This window comes from Homo sapiens, chromosome X, assembly GCF_000001405.40.
Source record: "Homo sapiens chromosome X, GRCh38.p14 Primary Assembly".
NCBI lineage: Eukaryota > Metazoa > Chordata > Mammalia > Primates > Hominidae > Homo > Homo sapiens.
In genome coordinates, this window is record NC_000023.11 from 41196177 (window position 1) to 41221815 (window position 25639).

Below are 25639 nucleotides of genomic sequence, written 5' to 3' on the forward strand. Positions count from 1 at the left end.
CAAGAGGGAACAATGTTACAATCATTTTTTAAAATGGAAATAATGTATTAAATGTGAAACATTTTTTATTTCAGAACTGTTCGTCAGGTGGCACAGGAGCAGTTCTTTTTAATGTGCACCAGATGTTGCATGGGACACCGGCCTCTACTTTTCTTCATTACTCTACTCTTTACTGTTTTGGGGGTGAGACTTTTTAAAATATGCTTATCAATGTGATTCATTCTTTAAGCAAGAAACATTCAGAAATTTGTGGTTTTAGCTTGCATTAAAGTTAGGACAGTCTATATTTAATAAATGAAGTACTACTTTATTTCCCGCACTGTGGTAGTCATCTTCTCTAGTTAACTCTGGGTTTTTAAAAAAGTGGATTTTGAGGATGGACGTGTAAATTGATATTATTCTACTCTGTTTCCAGAGCACAGCAAGAGAGAGAGCTAAACACTCAGGCGACTACTTTACTCTTTTAAGACACCTTCTTAATTACGCTTACAATAGTAATATTAATGTACCCAATGCTGAAGTTCTTCTCAATAATGAAATTGATTGGCTTAAAAGAATTAGGGTAAGTTTTAGTTAATACTCCATTTATATGTCATTATTAGTAAATAGAATGTTTTATTGATGATTTATATTTTTTGAGCATTTTGGTTAAATGGAAAACTCCAAAGATTGATAAAAGGGACCAAAGAATGTACTCTGCATCAGTGGACGTTAGTAATCTGTGATTCACAAAATGCATATCTAGTTTAGTAAAATGAATTGCTTACTTGACACTTGAAATACTGATGTTCAGCTTCTTTTATTTTAGCATTTTGGGCCTTTTTGCAAATTCTAATTTTTAAAAAAAGTATTCTTGAATTGTTTATGTCAAAAATGAGTCTGATAGAGCAGAACTTTCTACCATAACATCTGATACTTTTTACTTAGGCAAAATGATACAAGAATTTATTTCTGAAGAGATTTGTAGTTTTTAACCTTCAAATTAGCATTTCTTCTAGTAGTTCATAAAGCCAATTTCTAGAAAGTTCTGAAGAAAACAAAGTTGTTTGAATGGAAAGACTTAAGGAAATTATCTCATATCCCTCCAGCTCTGTCTCGTTCTGGCTCCTCTCTCCCTCTTTACCTCCCTTTCATAAGCTAGACATTTGATTTCTTCCCCCCCCCACCCCACCCCCCGCCTTTGGCAGGATGATGTTAAAAGAACAGGAGAAACGGGTATTGAAGAGACGATCTTAGAGGGCCACCTTGGAGTGACAAAGGAGTTACTGGCCTTTCAAACTTCTGAGAAAAAATTTCATATTGGTTGTGAAAAAGGAGGTGCTAATCTCATTAAAGTAAGTTCTGTGTTCTTGGTTGTAAGCTACATATCATAACCTTCTAAATGTTTATAATCAAATTTAATTAATTTATAGTAGTATCATGTCTTTGTACTTTCTTGATCTTTTCTCTTTTTTAAGAATCTTTATCAAATTTACAGTAATTTAAGAAATACAGTTATGCCTTACTTTATTCAAGAGACATTTCTAAATTTGTATTTAAATAAGATTTCATGGCTGGACTTGCTGGCCTCATGCCTGTAATCCCAGTACTTTGGGAGGCCGAGTCCAGTGGATGGCTTGAGCCCAAGAGTTGAAGACCAGCCTGGGCAACATGGTGAAACCCCTTCTCTACAAAAGAAAAAAAAAAAATTGCCAGGTGTGGTGGCGCACACCCATGGTCCCCAGCTACTTGAGAGGCTGAGATGGAAGGATCACCTGAGCCCAGGAGGTGGAGGTTGCAGTGAGCTGAGATCGCACCACTGCACTCCAGCCTGAAGGAACAGAGCAAGGCCCTGTCTCAAAATAAATAGATAAATAAATAAGATACTTTATAAAGTAATTGTTGTTTAGTTTTTCTCTTTGGAAAATCTGAATTGTTAATTTCATTTAATGAGGCAAACCTCTGTTTTGTAAGAATGCATCTTGTATATCTTTAATGAGTTTTTTCATACATGTAGTAACACAAGGAAACAAAGTTTCATTTTTGTACATTTTATTTCTATTCAAAATGGGTTTAATTTGCTATACACTTGATTAAAGGAGCAAACATTTAAAATAAAAATTTTGATAAGTACTATATTCAGTTCTTTCTTAATATTTACAAATTTATTTAACCTGCGAAATTAGGTATGTTAGTGATAGTAAATAGTGTTTTGAAGGAAGATCTTTTTATTAGAAAATCTGAGTTTTCTGAGATGTAATGAGATCTTAAATTCCAATGAGTAATTTTAAAATGATTTACTTACAAGAGAACTTTTTTTTTCTAAAAATATATAGCATTGCTAATATGTAATCCCTTTTTCAACTTTTTAGGAATTAATTGATGATTTCATATTTCCTGCATCCAATGTTTACCTACAGTATATGAGAAATGGAGAGCTTCCAGCTGAACAGGCTATTCCGGTCTGTGGTTCACCACCTACAATTAATGCTGGTTTTGAATTACTTGTAGCATTAGCTGTTGGCTGTGTGAGGAATCTCAAACAAATAGTAGATTCTTTGACTGAAATGTATTACATTGGCACAGCAATAACTAGTAAGTATTTTTAATAGAATGTGATAATTGATCATTTCAATGTTTCAAAGTTGTTTTCCTGTTTTTCTTTCAGAAAATATTTCCAACTTACGTATTTCTTTCAGTAACTAGTTTAACATTTTTAGTGAGTGAATGAACAGTTAAGACCATTATAGGCCGGGCACGGTGGCTCAGGCCTGTAATCCCAGCACTTTGGGAGGCCAAGGTGGGTGGATCACCTGAGGTCAGGAGTTTGAGACCAGCCTGACCATGGTGAAACCCTGTCTCTACAAAAAATACAAAAATTAGCTGGGCATTGTGGTGCACACCTGTAATCCCAGCTACTCAGGAGGCTGAGACAGGAGAATTGCTTGAACCCAGGAGGTGGAGGTTGCAGTGAGCCGAGATCGCGCCACTGCACTCCATCCTGGGTGACAGAGCAAGACTCCATCTCAGAAAAAAAAGAAAAGAAAAGAAAAGAAAAAAGAAAAATAAGACCATTATAAGCAGACCACCTTGTATAGAAAAAAATTCAAACATTTGTTAAGTGGCATCCTATAAGTGGTGTCGCCATTTGGCAAGATAAATTTCATCTCATGAAACCTGTCATAAAATTCAAACTCCAGATTAAAAGGTAGCCAAAGTAAATGCCGTAGAGTATAGACGTAAAACTTTATTTTATTTATTTATTTTTTTGAGACGGAGTTTCACTCTTGTTGCCCAGGCTGGAGTGCAGTGGCGCGATCTCGGCTCACTGCAACCTCTCGGGTTCAAGTGATTCTCCTGCCTCAGCCTCCCAAGTAGCTGGGCTTACAGGCGCCTGCCACCATGCCTGGCTAATTTTGTATTGCCACCATGCCTGGCTAATATTGTATTTTTAGTAGAGATAGGGTTTCACCATGTTGGCCAGGCTAGTCTTGAACTCCTGGCCTCAGGTGATCCACCTGCCTCGGCCTCCCAAAGTGCTGGAATTACAGGTGTGAGCCACCGCACCTGGCCCAGACTTAAAACTTTAAGTTGCATGTATTGGAAAACCTTTCAGGTCTTCACTTAGAAGTTCCGTAACGTTATGAGTTCGAAGAAAATCTGGCTTTGAAGATTAGAACGTGAGAAGTTACCATTTTGGTGCACCTTATTTATGTTCTCATTTAATGCCCACACCAGGCGCATGAATAGGCTGCAGATTTCAGACCTTACAGATAAGGAATTGAAGCTCAAAAGGGCAAGGGCAATATAAAATATTAATAACAGAAAAAGCAGAAATAAGCATAATTGATGCTGTTTTAAGAGAAAATCGCTATTTAGAACACTTAAGAATATAATTGATTATAGTAAATCTTTAAGAACATGTCAAATTACTTTTTGATGTGTTTCAGAATGTTTGGAAGTTTTAAATAACATCTCAGGAATTTCTGAATAAATTGATTGCTTAAAAGGTTAGACCTTTAGCTGTCCTATCAAATCTATGTATTGTGAGAATTCTTGTATTTTTTTTTTAACTTAATGGGGGTTAATTTTTTAATCACAGATTGGAGTATAGTACAACGTTGTTTGCATCCTTCCCTATCTGCCATTGTTCCCTGTCAACACAGAAATATTTACCTAATTCCATTTTTGGCCATGCAGTTTGGTATGATATAATTAACTGGCCCCCTAGACAATGATACTTAATGTTGTTTCCAGGTTTATACTAGGTGGAGGGAGATAGGAAGATGTACAGTGATTTACAATTATCACAAATCTGCTGTCTTGCTTGCTCCTCAAAATAGCATTATAGATATCAGGAAAGCAAGTGTTACTTTTATTATTACATTTACTAGGAAGAAACAGAAAGTTACCTAAAGGTGGGGGAAAAAAAGTGGTAAGCATCAGAACCAGGATGTGAGCCCATGTGGTTTTAGGATTATTTAAAACTGAGAAAATTATAATGTGTTGATATATTTAGATAACATTTCATTCCTTGCCAAATTTGAAGGCAAAAGTATCAAATATTAAGAAAGTGAATAATGGCTAAAAATAAAGATGCAAGTAAAGTTAGCATGTAGACATTAGAATTATACTATCTTGTACTTTTGAGACTGCCATAGAAGCAACATCATATGAAACGGGTTTGCGGGTGATTGGATAAGAAGCTGCACAGTGGTGCCTGTTGCTGTATATTTTAGATTGTTGGAAGATGAAGTGCAAACTCAGAACACTGCTTCAGGTTGCTGTAGGGTTAGTCGAATTATGGGTGGTAGAATTATTGCCAGGGTTGCTTTGTCAGCATAATAGAGTTTGAAAGGACAGAATGGCCGTGTTCATGCTACAAGAATCTTTCCTTCTCTCAGCTTGTGAAGCACTTACTGAGTGGGAATATCTGCCACCTGTTGGACCCCGCCCACCCAAAGGATTCGTGGGGCTGAAAAATGCCGGTGCTACTTGTTACATGAATTCTGTGATTCAGCAACTCTACATGATTCCTTCCATTAGGAACGGTATTCTTGCCATTGAAGGCACAGGTAGTGATGTAGATGATGATATGTCTGGGGATGAGAAGCAGGACAATGAGGTAAATTTGAGTTACCATTTCTGTTTTCTGTGTTTCAAGTTATGATACCAGATACTATTCTCTCTTAAGAGAGTGTTATACTTTCATCAAACGTATTAAAGTATATTTGAAAGTTAGGGATGGGCCGAGCACACACCTGTGGTCTCAGCTACTCAGGAAACTGAGGCAGGAGGATTGCTTGAGCCTGGGAGCTGGAGGCTGCAGTGAGCCATGATCATGCCACTGCACTCCAGCCTGGGTTACAGAGTGAGACCCTGTCTCAGAAGAAAAAGAAAAAGTAAGTAGGGATGGACTTCTCCCAGCCAGCATGAACTGCTACCTCTTAACATAGTATAGTTCTCACTACCTACCAGAATTTAAACTGCAGATAATTTTTAGAATGGTTTGTACATTTCTAAAGCAACAGTTGGCTGGGCATGGTAGCTCACACCTATAATCTCAGCACTTTGGGAAGCTGAGGCAGGTGGATCACCTGAGGTCAGGAGTTCAAGACCAGCCTGGCCAACATAGTGAAACCCCATGTCTACTAAAAATACAAAAATTAGCTGGGTGTGGTGGCACATGCCTGTAGTCCTAGCTACTCGGAAGGCTGAGGCAGGAGAATCACTTGAACCCGGAAGGTGGAGGTTGCGATGAGCTGAGATGGCACCAGTGCACTCCAGCCTAGGTGACAGAGCGAGACTCCGTCTCAAAAAAAAAAAGCAACAGTTAATGTACTCGTGTTTTTTTGTGTAGAGTGTTTAGTATAATTTGGGGTTTGTTTGATGGTAAGAACCTTCATTTTTGATAATAGTTTTAAATTTTTACTTTTCTATTTCTAAATTTTAATTTTCTATTTTATGCCAAGTTATACAGTATCTGCCAATTTCACTGTGTGTGCTTACTTTTAGGTTATTCTTTGAATTTCCCTTAGATCATAGCTCTTCTTGATTAGGAAACAAACTTTCCCTACTTTAAATAGTCTCACGTAGTCTTGTGGCAAAATTTAGGCTGCCTACTGAGTATCCAGTGCAGTATAAAGCAGTGAAGAAGTTGAGTTGTAGTGGCGAATCAGAATTGACATAACTGTAAGATAGCTCTTTAAAGAAGAGCATATGGCAAGAAGACTTAAGTTGTGGTCATGTTTGTGCTTACCATGTAATATTTCCTTGGTTTTACTTTTCCTGTTTATAGTGATAGTGGGAACTGAAGAGAGAAGCCAGAGTATATTCTAATTGTAGTAAATGGTTCTTTTCATTCCCTCCCTTCAGTTGCCAGAACTGATTTTGCTCTGAAGAAGTAGTTTATCAATTGGAGCTTCTGAAACATCTACTTGCCTCAACTCTTCCCTAGACCTGCTGTGCCAGATGGTCTAGGGATTGGGTTCTGAGCACTTTCACTTTATAAAAAAAAGCTTCATAAAGGACACTTATACCCATACCTGATTAAAAACCACTGCTCTGGGAAAAAAATGTAATTCAAATTCCAGTTCTGGAGCCCATCATATACCTGGGATATTGAGTTAAACACAAGTAGATATAGGTAATTGTACTGGCAAGAAGTAAATGAGGCATAGAAAATATAACACAATTTCAAATAAGGTGTACCACTTTTACTCTCATGGTATCCTCTGCTCCATGTTGTCTCTGCACCCCAGTGTACTGTGGGAGTTTTTGTGGGGTTTTTTGGGTTTTGGTTTTTTTGGCTTATGTTTTTGTTTCCATCCCTAGAGTATAAGTTTCTCATGGGCAGGGACTGGTTGTTGTCTATTTCTATATCAGAGTTATCAGATACAACTCAGAGAATACTGAAAGATAGTTAAATGTAAAAACACATTCTTCTTTGTAGCTGCCATATGATTATGACCTTTAGGAATTCTGTCTTCATGTTACATCTTACACCACTACTTCTGTTGTTTTTTAAAATTGTGGTAAAATACATATAACATGAAACTTACCATCTGTTTTTAAATGTGCAGTTGTCCTATTAAATACATTTACATTGTTGTACACCATCACCACCACCCATCTCCAAAACTCTTCATATTGCAAAACTCAAACTGTAGTCATTAAGCTACTCCCCATTCTCCCTCCCCACAGCCTCTGGCAACTACTATTCTTTTTGTCTCTATGATTGACTACTCTACATACCTCATATAAGTGATTATATAAGTGAAATCATACAGTGTTTGCCTTTGCATAGCTGGCTTATTTCATTTTAAAGTCTAAGTAATATTCCATTATATGTATATACCACATTTTCCTTATCCATTCATTTGTCGATGGACATTTGGGTTGCTTCCCCATTTGAGCTATTGTGAATAAGGCTGCCATGAACATGGATATACAAATAGCTGTTTGAGGTCCTGCTTTCAATATTTCCAGGCATATGCTCAGAAGTGGAAGTACTAGATCATTTGGTGATGCTATTTTTATTTTATTATTTATTATTTTTTTCAGACAGAGTCTCACTCTGTCACACAGGCTGGAGTGCAGTGGTGCTATCTCAGCTCACTGCAACCTCTGCCTCCTGGGTTCAAGCGATTCTCCTGCCTCAGCCTCCCGAGTAGCTGGGACTACAGGCACGCACCACCATACCCCGCTAATTTTTGTATTTTTAGTAGAGATGGGATTTCACCATATTGGCCAGGCTGGTCTCGAACTCCTGATTTCAGGTGATCCACCCACCTTGGCCTCCCAAAGTGCTGGGATTATAGGCATGAGCCACCATATGCGGCCAAATTTTTTGAGGAACTGTTTTCTAGAGTGACTGCACCATTTTACATTCCTACCAGCATTGCACAAGAGCTCCAATTTCTCCATATCCTTGCCAACACTTGTTATACTCACTCGTTCTGGTAGTTGACACCCTAATTGAGTGTGAGGTAGTATCTCATGGTTTTGATTTGCATTTACCAAATGGTTAACGATTTTGAGCATCTTTAGCTGTGCTTATTATTGGCCACTTGTTGATCTTCTTTGTCTATTTTTAAATTGAGTTGTGTTGTTGAGTTTTAAGAGTTCTCTGTATGTTCTAGATATTAACTCCATATCAGATATGTGATTTGCAGATACTTTCTTTTGTTGCCTGTACCTCTGATGTCATATCCAAGAAATCACTGCCAAATCCAGTGTCTTGAAGCTTTTGCCCTATGTTTTTTTTTTTTTTTTAACAGTTCTGTGGTTTTAGCTCTTACATTTAGGATTTTGATCCATTTTGAGTTAATTTTTGTATGTAGTGTTTCATAAGGGCTCAACTTTATTCTTTTGCATGTGGATTATCCAGTTTACCCAGCACCATTTGTGGAAGAGTACTAGTCATGCACCACATAACAACGTTTCAGACAATTACAGACCATATATATGACAGTAGTCCAATGAGATTATAATGTCGTATTTTTACTGTACCTTTTCTATTTTTAGATGCACAGATTCACCGTTGGTTTGCAGTTGTCTACAGTATGTAGTACAGTAACATGCTGTACAAGTTTACAACCTAGGAGCAATTGGCTATACCATCTAGGTTTATAGGTACACTATGATGTTCACATGACAAAATACCTAATGATGCATTTCTCAGAATTTATCCCTGTCATTAAGCAAAGAATGACTATACTGATATAGGTATATTTTATTGACAGATCTGAGCATTTTATATACAACAGCTACACAAAGGATATATTACCCCCATTCACACATAAAGAAACTTGAAGCCTAGAAAGTTTAAGTAGTTTTTACTTGCTCAAAGTTACTTGGTTTATAAGTGGTAGAGCCTGCATTTATGTCTAGTTCAGTCTAAATTACTATGCTAATGCTACACTATATTATCTATCTTTCTTACACATGGTCAGGGTTATTTGGTTATGATAACTAATATGTGAAATGGTGGGGATAAACACTAAATAACTAAAAATTTATAAATTGAAAAGTGCTTTGGAAATGAGCATAATAGGAATACAAATCATTTGTTCAATAACTGCTTGGCATTTGTCTCAACGTATTTTATTATACTTTAGCTCATTGGTGACATTTTTTGGTTTCTAGAGCAATGTTGATCCCAGGGATGATGTATTTGGATATCCTCAACAATTTGAAGATAAACCAGCATTAAGTAAAACTGAAGATAGAAAAGAGTACAACATTGGTGTCCTAAGACACCTTCAGGTCATCTTTGGTCATTTAGCTGCTTCTCGACTGCAATACTATGTGCCCAGAGGATTTTGGAAACAGTTCAGGTAAACTATGGATGGACAGTAATAGAGATACTTCTTAAAATGAACATCTCAATACACTAACATTAAACCTCTAAAAGACATGTTGGAAGGCATCTTTTTTTAAGCACTGGTAATATTCAAACTGTCCTTAATTGGGTGGGTTTTTTTTTTTTTTTTTAGGTCCCCTTAGGAAGAAGTAGAAACTGCCATAGTAAGTAAGGGCAACATCCTTTAGTCTCTTAACCATATTATTAACTTTTTATTAGGAAAACATCTAATAAATACAGAAGTAGAAAAAATAGTATGAACCCCTGTATACTTGTCACCCAACTTCAGTAGTAGTCAACTTGTGGCCAGCCTCATTTAATCTATATTCTTAACCTATTTTTTTTTTCTTTTTTTCTTTTTCTTTTTCTTTTTTTCTTTTTTTTTTTTGAGATGGAGTTTTGCTCTTGTTGCCCAGGCTGGAGTGCAGTGGTGTGATCTTGGCTCACTGCAACATCCGCCTCCCAGATTCAAGTGATTCTCCTGCCTCAGCCTCCCAAGTAGCTGGGATTACAGGCACCCACCACCACGCCTAGCTGATTTTTTGTATTTTTAGTGGAGACGGGGTTTTACCATGTTGGCCCAGACTGGTCTCGAACTCCTGACCTCAGGTGATTCCCATCTCAGCCTCCCAAAGTGCTGGGATTACAGGCGTGAGCCACTGTGCCCGGCCCCTACCTATTTCTTTCTAGATTGTTTTGAAGCAAATCTTAGTTCCATCTGTAAATACTTAAGTATGTGTCTGTAGTGTCTGTCTCAAAACATGATCATGATACCATTATGTTTTTTTAAAATTGCTTAATATCAAATATCTCTGTCAGTGTTTGAATTTACCGAGTTATCTCATAACTGGTTTTTACTGATATTTTTTAAAAATAAGATTCAGTTGAGGTCCATTTACCACAAATGGTTGGTAATGATCTTGATTATTCATCTGTTTCTTTTTTCCCTTTACAATTATGGGGGAATCGGAGGACAAATAGTTTAGCATGTAAATTTTCCCACAGTCTGAATTTTGTTGATGGAATCCCTGTGGTCGTTTATTATTTTCTGTTTTTCTTGGTCACCTGCATCTTCTATAAACACCTTATGAGATCTAGAGGCTTGATCAGATTGTGGTATTATTTTTCTTTTTGTGGAATGGATAGGCAACGCTACTTCATAGGGGATAATGTTTATCTCCATGAGGAGTGACATTATAATGTCTGTCTTCTTATGATGTTAACAGCAATTTTTTATTATTATTATTATATATATACAATTTTTTTTTTTCCCCTGAGATGGAGTCTTTGCTCTGTCGCCCAGGCTAGAGTACAGTGGCGTGATCTCAGCTCACTGCAACCTCCGCCTCCTGGGTTCAAGCAATTCTGCCTCAGCCTCCTGAGTAGCTAGGGTTAACAGGGGTTACAGGCGTGGGCCAACCATGCCCGGCCAAGTTTTGTATTTTTAGTAGAGACGGGGTTTCACCATGTTGGCCAGTCTGGTCTCGAACTCCTGACCTCAGGTGATCTGCCTGCCTCCCAAAGTGCTGGATTATAGGCATGAGCTACTGCTCCCTGGCCTTTTTTTTTTTTTTTTTTTTTTTTTTGGAGATAGAGTCTTGCTCTGTTGCCCAGGCTGAAGTGCAATGGCTCGATCTCAGCTCACTGCAACCTCTGCCTCCCAGGTTCAAGCAATTCTTCAGCCTCAGCCTCTCAAGTAGCTAGGACGACAGGCCCACCACACCCCGCTAATTTTTTGTAGTTTTAGTAGAGATAGGGTTTCGCCGTGTTGGCCAGGCTGGTCTCAAATTCCTGACGTCAGGTGATCCACCCGCCTCGGCCTCCCAAAGTGCTGGGATTACAGGCGTGAGCCACTGCACCTGGCCAATTATCATTATCTTAATACAGTATTTCTTCAGGGTTATAAAATAACAATATTTTATTTTTTCATTTAATAGCTAGAAAAGATCTATAAAGGGAAAATTGCCCTCACCATTTTCTTTTTAAGTTAGAAAACTCAGATTACATTTTTATCTTGTTTCCTTTGACTTTAAGTCAGTACTACGTCATGCACTGTGCTAAAATAACTACAGTACAACCACGTAACTCTTACTGTGTATGAAAAGGGGTATAATTCTTTATAGCAGTGAGGTTTGGTTTGTTTTGTTTTGTAAGTAATCCTCCTTGGAATCCCTTCAAGGTGCTTCCCGGCCAGCTGAGAGGAGCGGGGAACGAAGGGTCACCTGATACTCTGATCCGCCTTCCCTTCTTCTGACAAAGCAGTATAAATTTCTTTTCCTCCCCTAACTAGGCCCTCTACTTACTCTGTACTAGTGTCTTGCGTGGACCACCCTCCCTCCCATCTCTCATTTTGCTTTTAGTCCCGTCACCCAGCATACCATTCTCCCTCCTCTCTGACTATTTCAGTTCTGTCTTCTTTCCCTAGGTTATTCCAATTCCATCTCTGCCTTAAGGCTATTTTAGCATTTCTGTTTATGCTCTTCCAAACTGAAGAACACAAACAGAGGCTTATACTGGGTTTTTTTTTTTTTTGAGACAGAGTCTCACTCTGTGGCCCAGGCTAGAGTGCAGTGGTGTGATCTCGGCTCACGGTAACCTCTGCCCGCTGGGTTCAAGCAATTCTCCTGTCTTGGTAGCTGGGATTACAGGCGCCTGCCACCATGCCCAGCTAATTTTTGTATTTTTAGTAGAGACTGGGTTTCACCATATTCATCAGGCTGGTCTTGAACTCCTGACTTCAGGTGATCCACCCGCCTCAGCCTCCCAAAGTGCTGGGATTACAGGCGAGAGCCACTGCGCCCAGCTGAGGCTTACACTTTTTAAACTTTCGTCTTGTCATTCAGTTACAATTTTTTCTCTTGTAATGCCTTTGCTTTTTTGACTTTTCAGTTACTCGCTGTGCTAGTGGAGCTCGGTTTGTATAGACTAGCACTTTGGATTATCCACACTTTAGACACATAATCTACTCTTGACACAAGCGGGTTAGTTAACTACACTTCCTCACCCCACTCTTTTATTTTGAAAAGTTTCAAACCTACAGAAAAGATGAAGAAGAGGTATAATTATCACCTTTATGTTATATTCTTTATGCGGTTTTACTAATTAACATTTTGCCATATTTGCTTATCTTGCCATATGTGTGCTTGGTTTTTGGTTTATTTTTTTTTTAAGTTTTGTTTGTTTGTTTGTTTGTTTTTTGTTTTTTTGAGATGGAGTCTCGCTCTGTCGCCCAGGCTGGAGTGCAGTGGCGTGATCTCGGCTCACTGCAAGCTCCCCTTCCTGGGTTCACACCATTCTCCTGCCTCAGCCTCCCGAGTAGCTGGGACTACAGGCGCCTGCCACCAATGCCCAGCTAATTTTTTGTATTTTTAGTAGAGACAGAGTTTCATTGTGTTAGCCAGGGTGGTCTCGAACTCCTGACCTCGTGATCCACCCGGCTCGGCCTCCCAAAATGCTAGGATTACAGGCGTGAGCCACCGCGCCCGGCCTTTTTTCTTAAGTTGATAGTGAAGTTGCAAACAGGACGCTTCACCCCTTCATACTTCAACATATATCTTATAAGAGATCATATATCAGAATAAGGCAATTTTCCTACTTATGTATGATACAGTTATATCCAAGTAATATAATAACGATTTTTAATCTCTAATATTCATCAGTATATATTCCGATTTCCCAAAAGTGGTCTTTATAACTTATCTCTCTATCCCAATCTGATACTCATGAAGGAATCACAAGGATTTGGCTGTTAGCTCTTTAGTTGCCTTTTATGTAAAATAATCTCCCTAACTTGTGACTTGTATCGCACTGAAATTTTTAAAGAATCCAGGCCAGTTGTCTTGCAGAATGTGTTTTTTGATTTGTGTGATTGTTTCCTGATGATTAGCTTTATGTTAAATGTTGAGGGGGTGGGGGCAATAAAACTACATAATTGATGTTTTGTGTTTCTCACTGCACTGTATTGGGAGGCATGTGTTATCCACTTAATTATTAAGTGATATTAATTTTGATTTCTTGGTGTCTTAACAGATCTCTCCTTTATAAAGGGTACCTTTTCCCTTTTGAAATTAGTTGATTACATGTTTGAAAGTTTGAGGAGTTGAATATGGTTTGAAAGTAAATAGAACGGACTGGTGTAATTTCCAGTAATGAAACAAGCTGATTTTTAACAAATAATATATTTGATTTTAAACTTACTGTATACAAATTTTTACTTGTGTAAAATATAATAGAGATCAGATTATTTGCTATGTAGAAAAGGTTTTTACAAAAGTATAAACAGACAGTTCTTGCATACTTTAAAATGTCATTTCTTGCTTAGAACAAATACACTTAAATTCTCTATATACATTATTCTGTATATACAAAATCAGGTATTATTGATAGTTTCCAGCAGTGCCTGAGTTTTAGCAGTATGAGTTCTCATTTTTGTGGTATGTAGTGATGGTGTCTTTTCTTAGATTACTCAAGAGATTAACTCTAGAACAAGTTAAACCTTTCTCTCTTCACTTGGGAAAAAAATAAATTTAAGAGTAACTAGATCTGATCTTTTTACTATTTATAATCCAAAATTTAAGCAAAATGAAAGAAATAAAATAGTGATTGTAACATCCACATAAGAGTGAGATCCACCACCTCATCTTAATAGTATCTTTAATTGGATTCAAAATGCATGCATGTGTCATACCACCTGAAGCAACCATCCTTCCTGGAGCCGTACTATCCATCAATTACACCACTAGTTTTGTGGCAGTTCTTTGCCGCTAGAGTACTAGTTTTACTATGAGGCTCACTCTCTTACCCCACTACATTCTACAGGGAAAGCACATTCTTTTTTTCCTACTTTTTCCATGTAATTGAGGAATAAAATCTCGGTTTTATATACTGTTGTTTGTGGTCTTGTTGCTTTTTTTTCCCCTGAAAAATATAGTTGTACATATTGTTCTGTGAATGTTACATGTTACATGTTTTATTTCATTCATTTCTTAGGCTTTGGGGTGAGCCTGTTAATCTGCGTGAACAACACGATGCTTTAGAATTTTTTAATTCATTGGTGGATAGTTTAGATGAAGCTTTAAAAGCTTTAGGACATCCAGCTATGCTAAGTAAAGTCTTAGGAGGTTCCTTTGCTGATCAGAAGATCTGCCAAGGCTGCCCACATAGGTAAGTACTAATTACACATTGAAAGTATATGTTGTACCATGTATATACTAACAGAAATAAAATTTTTACTAGTACTTACATACAAAAGTGGAGTATATCACTGATTACTAAATACCTGAAACAGAATGATTTATATACTTTGCATACCTTACTGCTGTGGGGCTTTTTTTTGTTTTTGTCAGTTAACTTTTAGTTCCTTCTACTCTGCCTGATCTCTTAGCCATTTTATTATATTATACTCTTACAGTCTCTTTCTTCCTTTCCTTTCCTTTCCTTTCTCCTTTTTCTTTTCCTTTCTCTTTTTTTTTCTTTCTTTCTTTTTTGAAAGAGACAAGGTTTCTCTTTGTTGCCTAGGCTGGAGTTCAGTGGCATGGTCGTAACTCATAGTAACTTTGAACTTGTGGGCTCAAGCAATCCTGCTGCCTCAGCCTCTCAAATAGCTGGGACTACAGGCATGTGCCACCACACCTGGCTAATTTGTAAATTTTTTTAGAGATCGAATCTCTTGTTGCCCAAGCTGGTCTCAAAACTGCTGACCTCAAAATCAGTCGTCACACCTCAACTTCCCAAAGTGTTGAGATGACAGGCGTGAGCCACTGCGCCTGGCCTACTCTTACATTCTTTTACAGAAGATTATTCCTGAGGAAATAAAATGGCATTTTGCATATAGCTACAGGTGTTATTTATAAATTTGCCCTTTATCTTAGAACTTGAGTGATTATAATAGTGTAAATACAGTAAGTTTAGAAGATGACAAAGCTATGGTAGTATTTCCTATACAAATGAAATAATGACTTTTAAAATAGCATTGATTATTGTCATTATCTTTAAGGTATATTTGTATACAAAACATATCAAACCTATTGTAAAAAAAGATTTTACCCCCGTCCGGGAGGTGAGGGGTGCCTCTGCCCGGCTGCCCCTACTGGGAAGTGAGGAGCCCCTCTGCCCGGCCAGCCGCCCCGTCCGGGAAGGAGGTGATGGGGTCAGCCCCCCACCCGGCCAGCCGCCCCGTCCGGGAGGGAGGTAGGGGGGTCAGCCCCCCGCCCAGCCAGCTGCCCCATCCGGGAGGTGAGGGGTGCCTCTGCCCGGCCGCCCCTACTGGGAAGTGAGGAGCCCCTCTGCCCGGACAGCCGCCCCGTCCGGGAGGGAGGTGGGGGGGTCAGCCCCCCGCCCGGCCAGCCGCCCCATCCGGGAGGTGAGGGGTGCCTCTGCCCGGCCGCCCCTACTGGGAAGTGAGGAGCCCCTCTGCCCGGCCACCACCCCGTCTGGGAGGTGTACTCAACAGCTCATTGAGAACAGGCCATGATGACAATGGCGGTTTTGTGGAATAGAAAGGGGGGAAAGGTGGGGAAAAGATTGAGAAATCGGATGGTTGCCGTGTCTGTGTAGAAAGAGGTAGACATGGGAGACTTTTCATTTTGTTCTGTACTAAGAAAAATTCTTCTGCCTTAGGATCCTGTTGATCTGTGACCTTACCCCCAACCCTGTGCTCTCTGAAACATGTGCTGTGTCCACTCAGGGTTGAATGGATTAAGGGTGGTGCAAGATGTGCTTTGTTAAACAGATGCTTGAAGGCAGCATGCTCGTTAAGAGTCATCGCCACTCCCTAATCTCAAGTACCCAGGGACACAAACACTGCGGAAGGCCGCAGGGTCCTCTGCCTAGGAAAACCAGAGACCTTTGTTCACTTGTTTATCTGCTGACCTTCCCTCCACTATTGTCCTATGACCCTGCCAAATCCCCCTCTGCAAGAAACACCCAAGAATGATCAATTAAAAAAAAAAAAAAAAGCCTAAAAAAATAAAAATAAAAAAAGATTTTACAAGAAAAACATTGACAAAACAAATTGTTTGACTTGAAAATTGATTAAGGGCTTCTATTAGAAATAGTTAATGAGTTCATTACTGATAAATATACATGCCTGTCATATGGAAGTTTTACTTTGGGACTTGTTATAATATGGATTAATGTTGATTTGCAATCGTTTTTCACCAAAATGTCACAGTAAGATAGTATTTTCTACAATCCAAACTGTATTAAATATAGTCATGGGTTGAGTACACATGTGGTTTGTGGGGGTGTTTTGTTTTTGATTACCAGGAAATGATTGGGTGAGAGGTAATACTATATAAATGAGAAATTTCTAGCAAGTTATAGTCTTACCACTCATTCATAATTAGGGAATATACTTATTCACTTAGCCTAGGCAACTTTTAGTCCTTTTGAAAGGCCTTTTATATTAGGTGAACAATAAAATAAAATTTTAACCTTGTTTTTAATTAGTGATAAAAACAGCCAACTTTGGGGTCATTTGTTCATGTTACTCCTCCTTAGTTTTAGACAATTTTCTAAATTATTTGGAAATCACTGGTTTTCTTTGGCAAGTGAAATGTCAAAAGATTATGGTCTTGAAATCAGATCCTTATACCTGATCAACAGCTAAACTAGTCTTATTTTTTTAACTAGCTGGGCATGGGGGTGGACTCCTGTAGTCCCAGCTGCTTGGGAGGCTGAGTCAGGAGGATCGCTTGAGCCCAGGAGTTAGAAGTTCCAGTGAACTGTGATCATGCCACTACATTCCAGCCTGGGTGACAGAGTGAGACCTCACCTCATTAAAAACAAAAAAGAAAGAAACTCTACTTTGAGTGCCCATACAACCATTCTGTTTTTCACTCTCAGTACAGTATTCATTGAATTACATGAATCTTTGTGTTACAAGATTTTGCCCAACTGTAGGCTAATATAAGTGTTCTGAACACATTTAGGGTAAGCTAGGCTAAAGCTATGATGTTTGGTAGGTTGGGTGTATTAAATGCATTTTCAGCTTATGATATTTTCAATTTATGATGGGTTTATTGGGCTGTAGCCATTTCATAAGCAAAGAGCGTCCGTACTTGCTGCAGAGACCATATGCTTCACAAAGCCTAAGATAAATTTACTATCTGGCCCTTTACAGAAAGACTTTGCTGTCCTCTAATGTTAGAACACCTTCTTTTTATAGATGTTGAAGAATATCCTACTTTTGAAGTGTAGTCTAAGATCTAACTTTTTTCCCTCTATGGGCTGTTCCCTGATTATATAGTAAAAATTTGCTTAATACCTGCTTTATATTCCATTCATATAATTTATAAATGCCTTTGTGTACCTTTTTTCCGGAGTTTAAAATTCCTTAAATAAGGGACTATCTTAAACAGTGAATATCCCTCAGTACTTTTACACATAGAAAGCACTCTCAGTCTATCCATTGGATGAATTAATGGTTAATAATGTATTCCTCACATCCCTTGTTTTGCATTTATGCATGTGTCTCACCAGAAATTGGAAAGTCTCTTTGGTAGAAAATGACCATAAACTGGGATTCTAGCTCCTTCTCAGGTTGCTAATCCTGTACTCATTTGTGTGTGCAAACTTTTGCTTTACTAAGGCTTCCATTACAGAAAAGGAAGAATATATAAAAATTTAGCTTATTCGTAGTTTATCATTTTCAGAACTTAATAAATTCATGCTTTGGCTTCAGCATGAATTACTATCTAAACAGATAACACTAGAAGCAGCATCGTATACTACAAAGAGATTAAGCTGTGAGCCCAGACAGATTCAACTTTAAAATACCATTTCACCTAATAATCTTGATCAAGTTAACTTTTTTATTGCTAACATTCTATGACTTACGGGTTTCGCATTATAAAAATGGCAAATGTATGGGTGCAGCAAACCAACATGGCACATGTATACATATGTAACAAACCTGCACGTTGTGGACATGTACCCTAGAACTTAAAGTATAATTTAAAAAAAAAAGGCAAATGTAGTTTACATTAAGTCCATAACTAAAATGTTTACAAAACTAAGGGATAAATCCTTTTTTTAAATCGTTTTTAGGTACGAATGTGAAGAATCTTTTACGACCCTAAACGTAGACATTAGAAATCACCAAAATCTTCTTGATTCTTTGGAACAGTATGTCAAAGGAGATTTACTAGAAGGTGCAAATGCATATCATTGTGAAAAATGCAATAAAAAGGTACGGGCTGTCCAGTTTTGTTTAATTTTGATTACATTTAATGGATTTAGAAGAAATTGGTTTTTTTGGTTCATCCTCACAAGTCACCCTATTTTTATTTTCTCCTACTTTGGTATAGTGGTAGCAGAGAAGTAGTCAATATGATAACTAATAGAAGGTTTGGCAAGGAAGGAAAAAAAGTAGTGCCAAAGGGGCTAGGTAAATAAGATAAAAATAGGTAAATAAGAGTGAATAATTTTAAAAGTCATAACGTGATAGCACATTCTCTTATATAAGTTACACAGACACTTTCCATCTCTACCGAGAAACAAATTGCCATTGAACCCCTCAAAGATACAGAGCTGATAGAGGAAAACATTTCTCCTGTCATGTCCAGGATTACTTGTCAAGACCAAAACATTTGCTGAAACCATTAATTACTTTATTGAACCACATAAGATTTCTTTTAGACTAGTCAAGTGGCCCATAAGATTTCTTTTATCACCTATGTTATAAAACCATTTATTTTGGAAACTTATTAGCAGTTCTTTGAGAGAGATGATTCACACGCATTATAGTAATGAATAAGGTGTATCTTTGGGAGCTCCCAAACCCTTTCACCCTCAAGTCACTTGTGTTGTTTTGGCCTTATGCACCACTTAGAGAAGTCCTGAAGTTTAAAGATTGAGATTGTGGGCTGTAAAGCCATACTGCCTGCCACCTGCAGCTCCTGAGACCTGAGGCAAGTTACTTGACCTCTCTGTGATTACTAGTTTTCATCTTTTAAGGTTCAGTAGTACACACTTGAGAAGGTTGTAAGGATTCGGTATGTTTTTACTTGTGCGGCACTTAGTATATATTACCTGGCATCTGAATTACCCAACAAATATTAGCTACTCTTATTGTTATTGTAGTTCTTTGGTTTGTGCATAGGAAACCACCTTCGTGGGAACAACAGTAAACATCAAACAGGTAATAATGGCTAGATAACAATGACAGAAACCAGTCAACAATTTACCATTTGCATATTATTAATTTCAGCATTTAAATCAGCTGATAGGATTATCTTGATTATGCTCATTGTCATGTATTTGTTTATACTTAAAAATTCAGATAAGTCTTAATATCATTTAAAAGTTTGCTTGGGGTTTTTTTTTTTTTCCTGTGGATTTTAATAGAACATCTGGTAACTTTGTCTTGTTTATTTTAGGTTGATACCGTAAAGCGCTTGCTGATTAAAAAATTACCTCCTGTTCTTGCTATACAACTAAAGCGATTTGACTATGACTGGGAAAGAGAATGTGCAATCAAGTTCAATGATTATTTTGAATTTCCTCGAGAGCTGGACATGGAACCTTACACAGTTGCAGGTGTCGCAAAGCTGGAAGGGGATAATGTAAACCCAGAGAGTCAGTTGATACAACAGAGTGAGCAGTCTGAAAGTGAGACAGCAGGAAGCACAAAATACAGACTTGTGGGTGTGCTCGTACACAGTGGTCAAGCGAGTGGGGGGCATTATTATTCTTACATCATCCAAAGGAATGGTGGAGATGGTGAGAGAAATCGCTGGTATAAATTTGATGATGGTGATGTAACAGAATGTAAAATGGATGATGACGAAGAAATGAAAAACCAGTGTTTTGGTGGAGAGTACATGGGAGAAGTGTTTGATCACATGATGAAGCGTATGTCATACAGGCGCCAGAAAAGGTGGTGGAATGCTTATATACTTTTTTATGAACGAATGGACACAATAGACCAAGATGATGAGTTGATAAGATATATATCAGAGCTTGCTATCACCACCAGACCTCATCAGATTATTATGCCATCAGCCATTGAGAGAAGTGTACGGAAACAGAACGTACAATTCATGCATAACCGAATGCAGTACAGTATGGAGTATTTTCAGTTTATGAAAAAACTGCTTACATGTAATGGCGTTTACTTAAACCCTCCTCCCGGTGAGTATCAAGAGAGTTTAGCTTCTTAGTAATAAAGAATAATTTATAGTAGGCGTCAACATGTTTAAGTTCATAAAATTAATGTTTTCACTTTAAATGAGTCTAATTTGCTGGGTGTGGTGGTTCACGCCTGTAATCCCAGCACTTTGGGAGGCCGAGGTAGGTGGATCACCTGAGGTCAAGAGTTCAATACCAGCCTGACCAACATGGTGAAACCCCATCTCTACTAAAAATATAAAAATTAGCCAGGCATGGTGGCATGCACCTGTAGTCCCAGCTACTCCCTGTAGTCCCAGCTACTCCGGAGGCTGAGGCAGGAGAATCGCTTGAACCTGGGAGGTGGAGGTTGCAGTGACCCAAATTGATGGCCACTGCACTCCAGCCTGGGTGACAGTGAGTCTCCATCTCAAAAAAATAAAATAAAAAAATAAATGGGTCTAAATTAAAGTAGCCTGAGAAGGGTTCTTAACAAATTTAGGACTTCTCAAAATTAATGGAAACACAGACTTGTTTGAAAATGGGGTTGGAAAATAAAAATGTGTTTTTATATCTGCATTTTATTTATAGGGCAAGATCACCTGTTGCCTGAAGCAGAAGAAATCACTATGATCAGTATTCAACTTGCTGCTAGGTTCCTCTTTACTACAGGATTTCACACAAAGAAAGTAGTCCGTGGCTCTGCCAGTGATTGGTACATTGCTTTGGATTTTCATTCCTATTATACTAATGTTTGGTTTGCTTCTTTAATAGATTGCTTTATGTTTTTCTAAACCAAGAGAATTTTGTTTGAAGTTTGGAATATAGAATAAAAACTCTGGGTCACAATAGAGAAATCATATTAAAATAGTTACTTAGTCTAAACATGGCCTTTTGTTATTCAGAAGCTGACTTCTGCTTCTATTACCTTGTATCATATCTTTGACATCCCTGCACCAAAGACTACAAGCTGAGACTGGGGGACAGTGACTCACACCTGTAATGCCAGCACTTTGGGAAGCCAGGGTGGGAGGATTGCTTGAGCTCGGGAGTTCAGGACCAGCCTAGGCAACATAGTGAGACCCCCATCTCTTCAAAGAAGATTTTAAAAATTACCCAAGTATGGTGGCGCACACCTGTAATCCCAGCTACTCGGAAGGCTGAGGTGGGAGGATCGCTGGAGCCTGGGAGGTTGAAGCTGCAGTGAGCCATGACTGTGCCACTGCACTCCAGCCTGGGCAGCAGAGCAAGACCCTGTCTCAAACAAAACCAAAGATTACAAGATGAGACTGAAAAGTGTAAGCTACTTATGAAATTTATTAGGTTTTAGCTTACCTAGATTGAATTCTGACACCGATTAAAAGGGTAAAAAATTAAAATGGTTTTCTTAAGTTTCTAATTGTGAAAGTATAGAGGCCATTATGATACATTGATTTAATAATTTTTACTTACTCATTTCAGGAATATGTCAAGATAAGGGGGTGGTATTTTGTCATTGAATCTAGGAAGAGTTTGTTAATGGATTTTTAGAGGACAAGCTTTCACCTGTTTGGTAACTCTGAGAGAATAGACCAAGTCATAGTATTTATCTATTGTTTTAATATTAGAAGCAACCTTTGCTGGTTCTCTCCAGCAGTAGAGGAAGATCTTTGTCTTTTTTTTTTGGTTCAATGAGACTCATCCTTTTACTATAGAGAACAAGTTATTGACTTAATAGTCATAGGTTTTTTTGTTTTATTTTAGGTATGATGCATTGTGTATTCTCCTTCGTCACAGCAAGAATGTACGTTTTTGGTTTGCTCATAACGTCCTTTTTAATGTTTCAAATCGCTTCTCCGAATACCTTCTGGAGTGCCCTAGTGCAGAAGTGAGGGGTGCGTTTGCAAAACTTATAGTCTTTATTGCACATTTTTCCTTGCAAGATGGGCCATGTCCTTCACCTTTTGCCTCTCCTGGACCTTCTAGTCAGGTAATTGCACAGCTTTCTTTCTAAATGATGAGATGTTTACAAATAAATTGTGTTTCCTGGAAGTCGAAGTCACAAGCATATGTGCATCCACTTGATATGTTTACCTAACAGAAACACACAATATGATGTCAGTGAGTTCCATTTAATATTACTGCATGGCAATGAATAGTAATTATTGGCTCTTTAAAAATGTAAGAGAATTTTCTCTGTTCGGTTACATGCAGTAGCTTAATTATAAGTTTACTGTTAAGTAGATTTTTTCCTATTTTGAAGGTTTTTTAAATAGTCTTAGATTTTTTTAAAAAATTACAAGTGTAAAAAATTATAATGAAATCCGCCTCTGATCTTCATTCCCTTTCCCAAGAAGCAAAATAGTTTAGTTTGTGTGATCAGTCCTTCCATAAATGTATGCCTGTATCAGCATATGTGCATGTCCTTTTTATGCAAGTAGAAGTATACATATACCTTGTTGCTGTAAAACAGGTAATGTTTTATCCTTTACAGGCTTATGACAACTTAAGCTTGAGTGATCACTTACTAAGAGCAGTACTAAATCTCTTGAGAAGGGAAGTTTCAGAGCATGGGCGTCATTTACAGCAGTATTTCAACCTGTTTGTAATGTATGCCAATTTAGGTAAGAATTTAAGTTTTTCAGAATTCTGTTTTGATGTATCATATTAAATTGTGAAGTCATTTAGGTCAAGTGATGAAATATAATCTGATCTGAAGTAGAAACAATTTCCCATAAAACCTGTTGTGAATTTTATCTGAACATGGCACTTTCACCTTTTACTTTGTTTATGCATGTGTCTTTGTGGTAGACACAGGTCAGAATCTGTGTTTTGATTTTTTTTTTTTTTTAATCTCCTAATGCAGTGGTGCCAAATCTGGCTGCTTTTGGAAAATACTGGTTTCTAGGCCTCTTCTCACACTGATTGAATCAGCATCCCCAAAGCTAATGTCAGGGAATCCATGTTTTCAAAGGGGTCCCCAAATGGTTGTGATACTCACCAAATTTAGATAGCAGACTTGGTCTGTACATAAGTTTTTGTTTAAGTAAACTACAATTATGGATAATATAAATACTCGCTTAAAATATTAATTTAGGGGCCGGGCACAATGGCTTATGCCTGTACTCCCAGCACTTTGGGAGGCCAAGGCAAGAGGATTGCTTGAGCCCAGGAGACTAACCTAGGCACCATAGGGAGACCCTATCTCTACAAAATAAAATTTTAAAATTAGCTGGATGTAGTGGCATATGCCTGTAGTCCTAGCTACTTGGGAGGCTGAGGTGGGAGAATCACTTGAGCTAAGGAGGTTGAGGCTGCAGTGACCCGTGATTGCACCACTGCACTCCAGCCTGGGCAACAGAATGAGACCCTGTCTCCAAAAAGCAAACAAACCAAAAAGTCATATATCCAAAATGAAGTTCTATATCCAGGCGTACCTGTCGTTTCAGGTTTTTTTTCTGTGATCTTACTTAATCACCATTGGATCCATGGCCCTTTTAACATAAGGGAGATTGTACTTTTCATTTGTCTATTTAGTTTGTCTTCTTTTCCCTTGTCTTTTCCGTAATTGCAGATATTTGGGTATTTGTAGATGAGAAAGAGAATATTTATTACACAGACAAGCATAAGTGGAATCTGTATTTCAAACTTAAAAATGCCAAATTTAGACATTCAGAAGAATCCTATTCTGTTCAACTCTTTTAGATATTGCCTGTTCACAAAGCACACATCATTGTTCCATAATGTAACCTACTTGTAAAATTTTCCTGCTGAAAACAAATACTGTAGGGCCTGTAAACCTTAATATGAAGTCCTTAAGATCAGATATGCATTGGGATTGAGAATTGTTTGGATTTAAGAAAAGCAAGGCAGTGCATATACCAACATCTCTATAGCAGGGTCTGAGACAACAACTTACAATTGAACACATTAATATTTCTACAGTAAAATATGAATATTTATACTGAAGGGAGAAATAAAGACTATAAGTAGCCTTTAGTCAGTTTGGGCTAGGTTATCCCACCAACCACATTTTGACAGCAACTTAATGAAAAACTTTGTTGGGCTGGGCGAGGTGGCTCATGCCTGTAATCCCAGCACTTTGGGAGGCCGAGGCAGGCGGATCACCTGAGGTATGGAGTTCAAGACCAGCCTGGCAAACATGGCGAAACCCCATCTCTACTTAAAAATACAAAAATTAGCAGGGCGTGGTGGCGGGCATCTGTAGTCCCAGCTATTCGGGAGGCTGAGGCTTGAATCTGGGAGGCAGAGGTTGCAATGAGCCAAGATCGCGCCACTGCACTCCAGCCTGGGCAACAGGGCAAGACTCCGTCTCAAAAAAAAAAAAAAAACTTGTTATAATAATAGCTTTTGGGCCAGGCGCGGTGGCTCACGTCTGTAATCCCAGCACTTTGGGAGGCCGAGGCAGGCAGATCACAAGGTCAGGAGTTCAAGACCAGCCTGACCAACATGGTGAAACCCCGTCTCTACTAAATATACAAAAATTAGCCGGGCGTGGTGGCACATGCGTGTAATCCCAGCTACTCAGGAGGCTGAGGCAGAAGAATCGCTTGAACCCAGAAGGCGGAGGTTGCAGTGAGCTGAGATCACACCACTGCACTCCAGCCTGGGAGACAAAGCGAGACTCCATCTTAAAAAAAATTAAAAATTAAAATAGCTTTTGGAATCTTAGGATTTCAGATAAGAGGTTGTGGACCTGTTTTTATTATGTTTTTGGGAATATGGCAATAAATAAGATTGTCTAATGGGATATAGAAGCAAATAATGTAGTTGCCATAAAATATGTTAATAGCTATAATAGGGAAAATGCAAAGTGCATCACGGGGGGCATGGTACCTGAAGGGATTTGGGGAGTGCAGAAGACTTAATGGGGAATGTAACGTGGGAATTGGTTAGTTGAGCTTTCCATCTAGAGTGTGAACAGCAGATGCAAAGACTTGATAAACTTGGCGTGGCTTATTGGATGGGATGAAAATTGTCCAGTCTGACTAGAATTGATGTAAGATGGGAATGGCAGGAGTTTCTGATCATGCAGTTCTAATAGGCCTTGTGAGAGAGACTGAGGCATTGGATGAGCCATTGTAGGGTTTTGAACAGATAATACCATCTAGAAAGAGCACTGTGGCCACAGTGTGGAATGTATTGCAGTGGAGTAAGATCCCAGAGAGTGTTAAAATGATCTATAGA

General features: G+C 38.3%; 1 protein-coding gene across 8 annotated transcripts in view, besides 1 other annotated feature; it reads left to right on the forward strand.

The window, feature by feature from the left end:
• USP9X (ubiquitin specific peptidase 9 X-linked) overlaps positions 1–25639 on the forward strand; it is a 151135-nt gene that overhangs the window by 110732 nt on the left and 14764 nt on the right. For all 8 annotated transcript variants that reach the window (NM_001410748.1, NM_001410749.1, XM_047442548.1 and 5 more), the window contains 12 exons: positions 75–183; positions 416–562; positions 1188–1334; positions 2352–2574; positions 4884–5104; positions 9127–9317; positions 14333–14506; positions 18392–18533; positions 19723–20476; positions 21044–21167; positions 22196–22421; positions 22926–23055. In NM_001410748.1, the coding sequence (NP_001397677.1) occupies positions 75–183; positions 416–562; positions 1188–1334; positions 2352–2574; positions 4884–5104; positions 9127–9317; positions 14333–14506; positions 18392–18533; positions 19723–20476; positions 21044–21167; positions 22196–22421; positions 22926–23055 (2588 nt within the window). The remainder of the gene's footprint in view (positions 1–74; positions 184–415; positions 563–1187; positions 1335–2351; positions 2575–4883; positions 5105–9126; positions 9318–14332; positions 14507–18391; positions 18534–19722; positions 20477–21043; positions 21168–22195; positions 22422–22925; positions 23056–25639) is intronic.
• Positions 14946–15663: an enhancer, noted in NCBI's record as "H3K27ac-H3K4me1 hESC enhancer chrX:41070375-41071092 (GRCh37/hg19 assembly coordinates)". NCBI's record gives its function as "activates a minimal SCP1, AML or CMV promoter by ChIP-STARR-seq in primed H9 embryonic stem cells {active_cell/tissue: H9 hESC(primed)}" and the evidence as "EXISTENCE:reporter gene assay evidence [ECO:0000049][PMID:30033119]".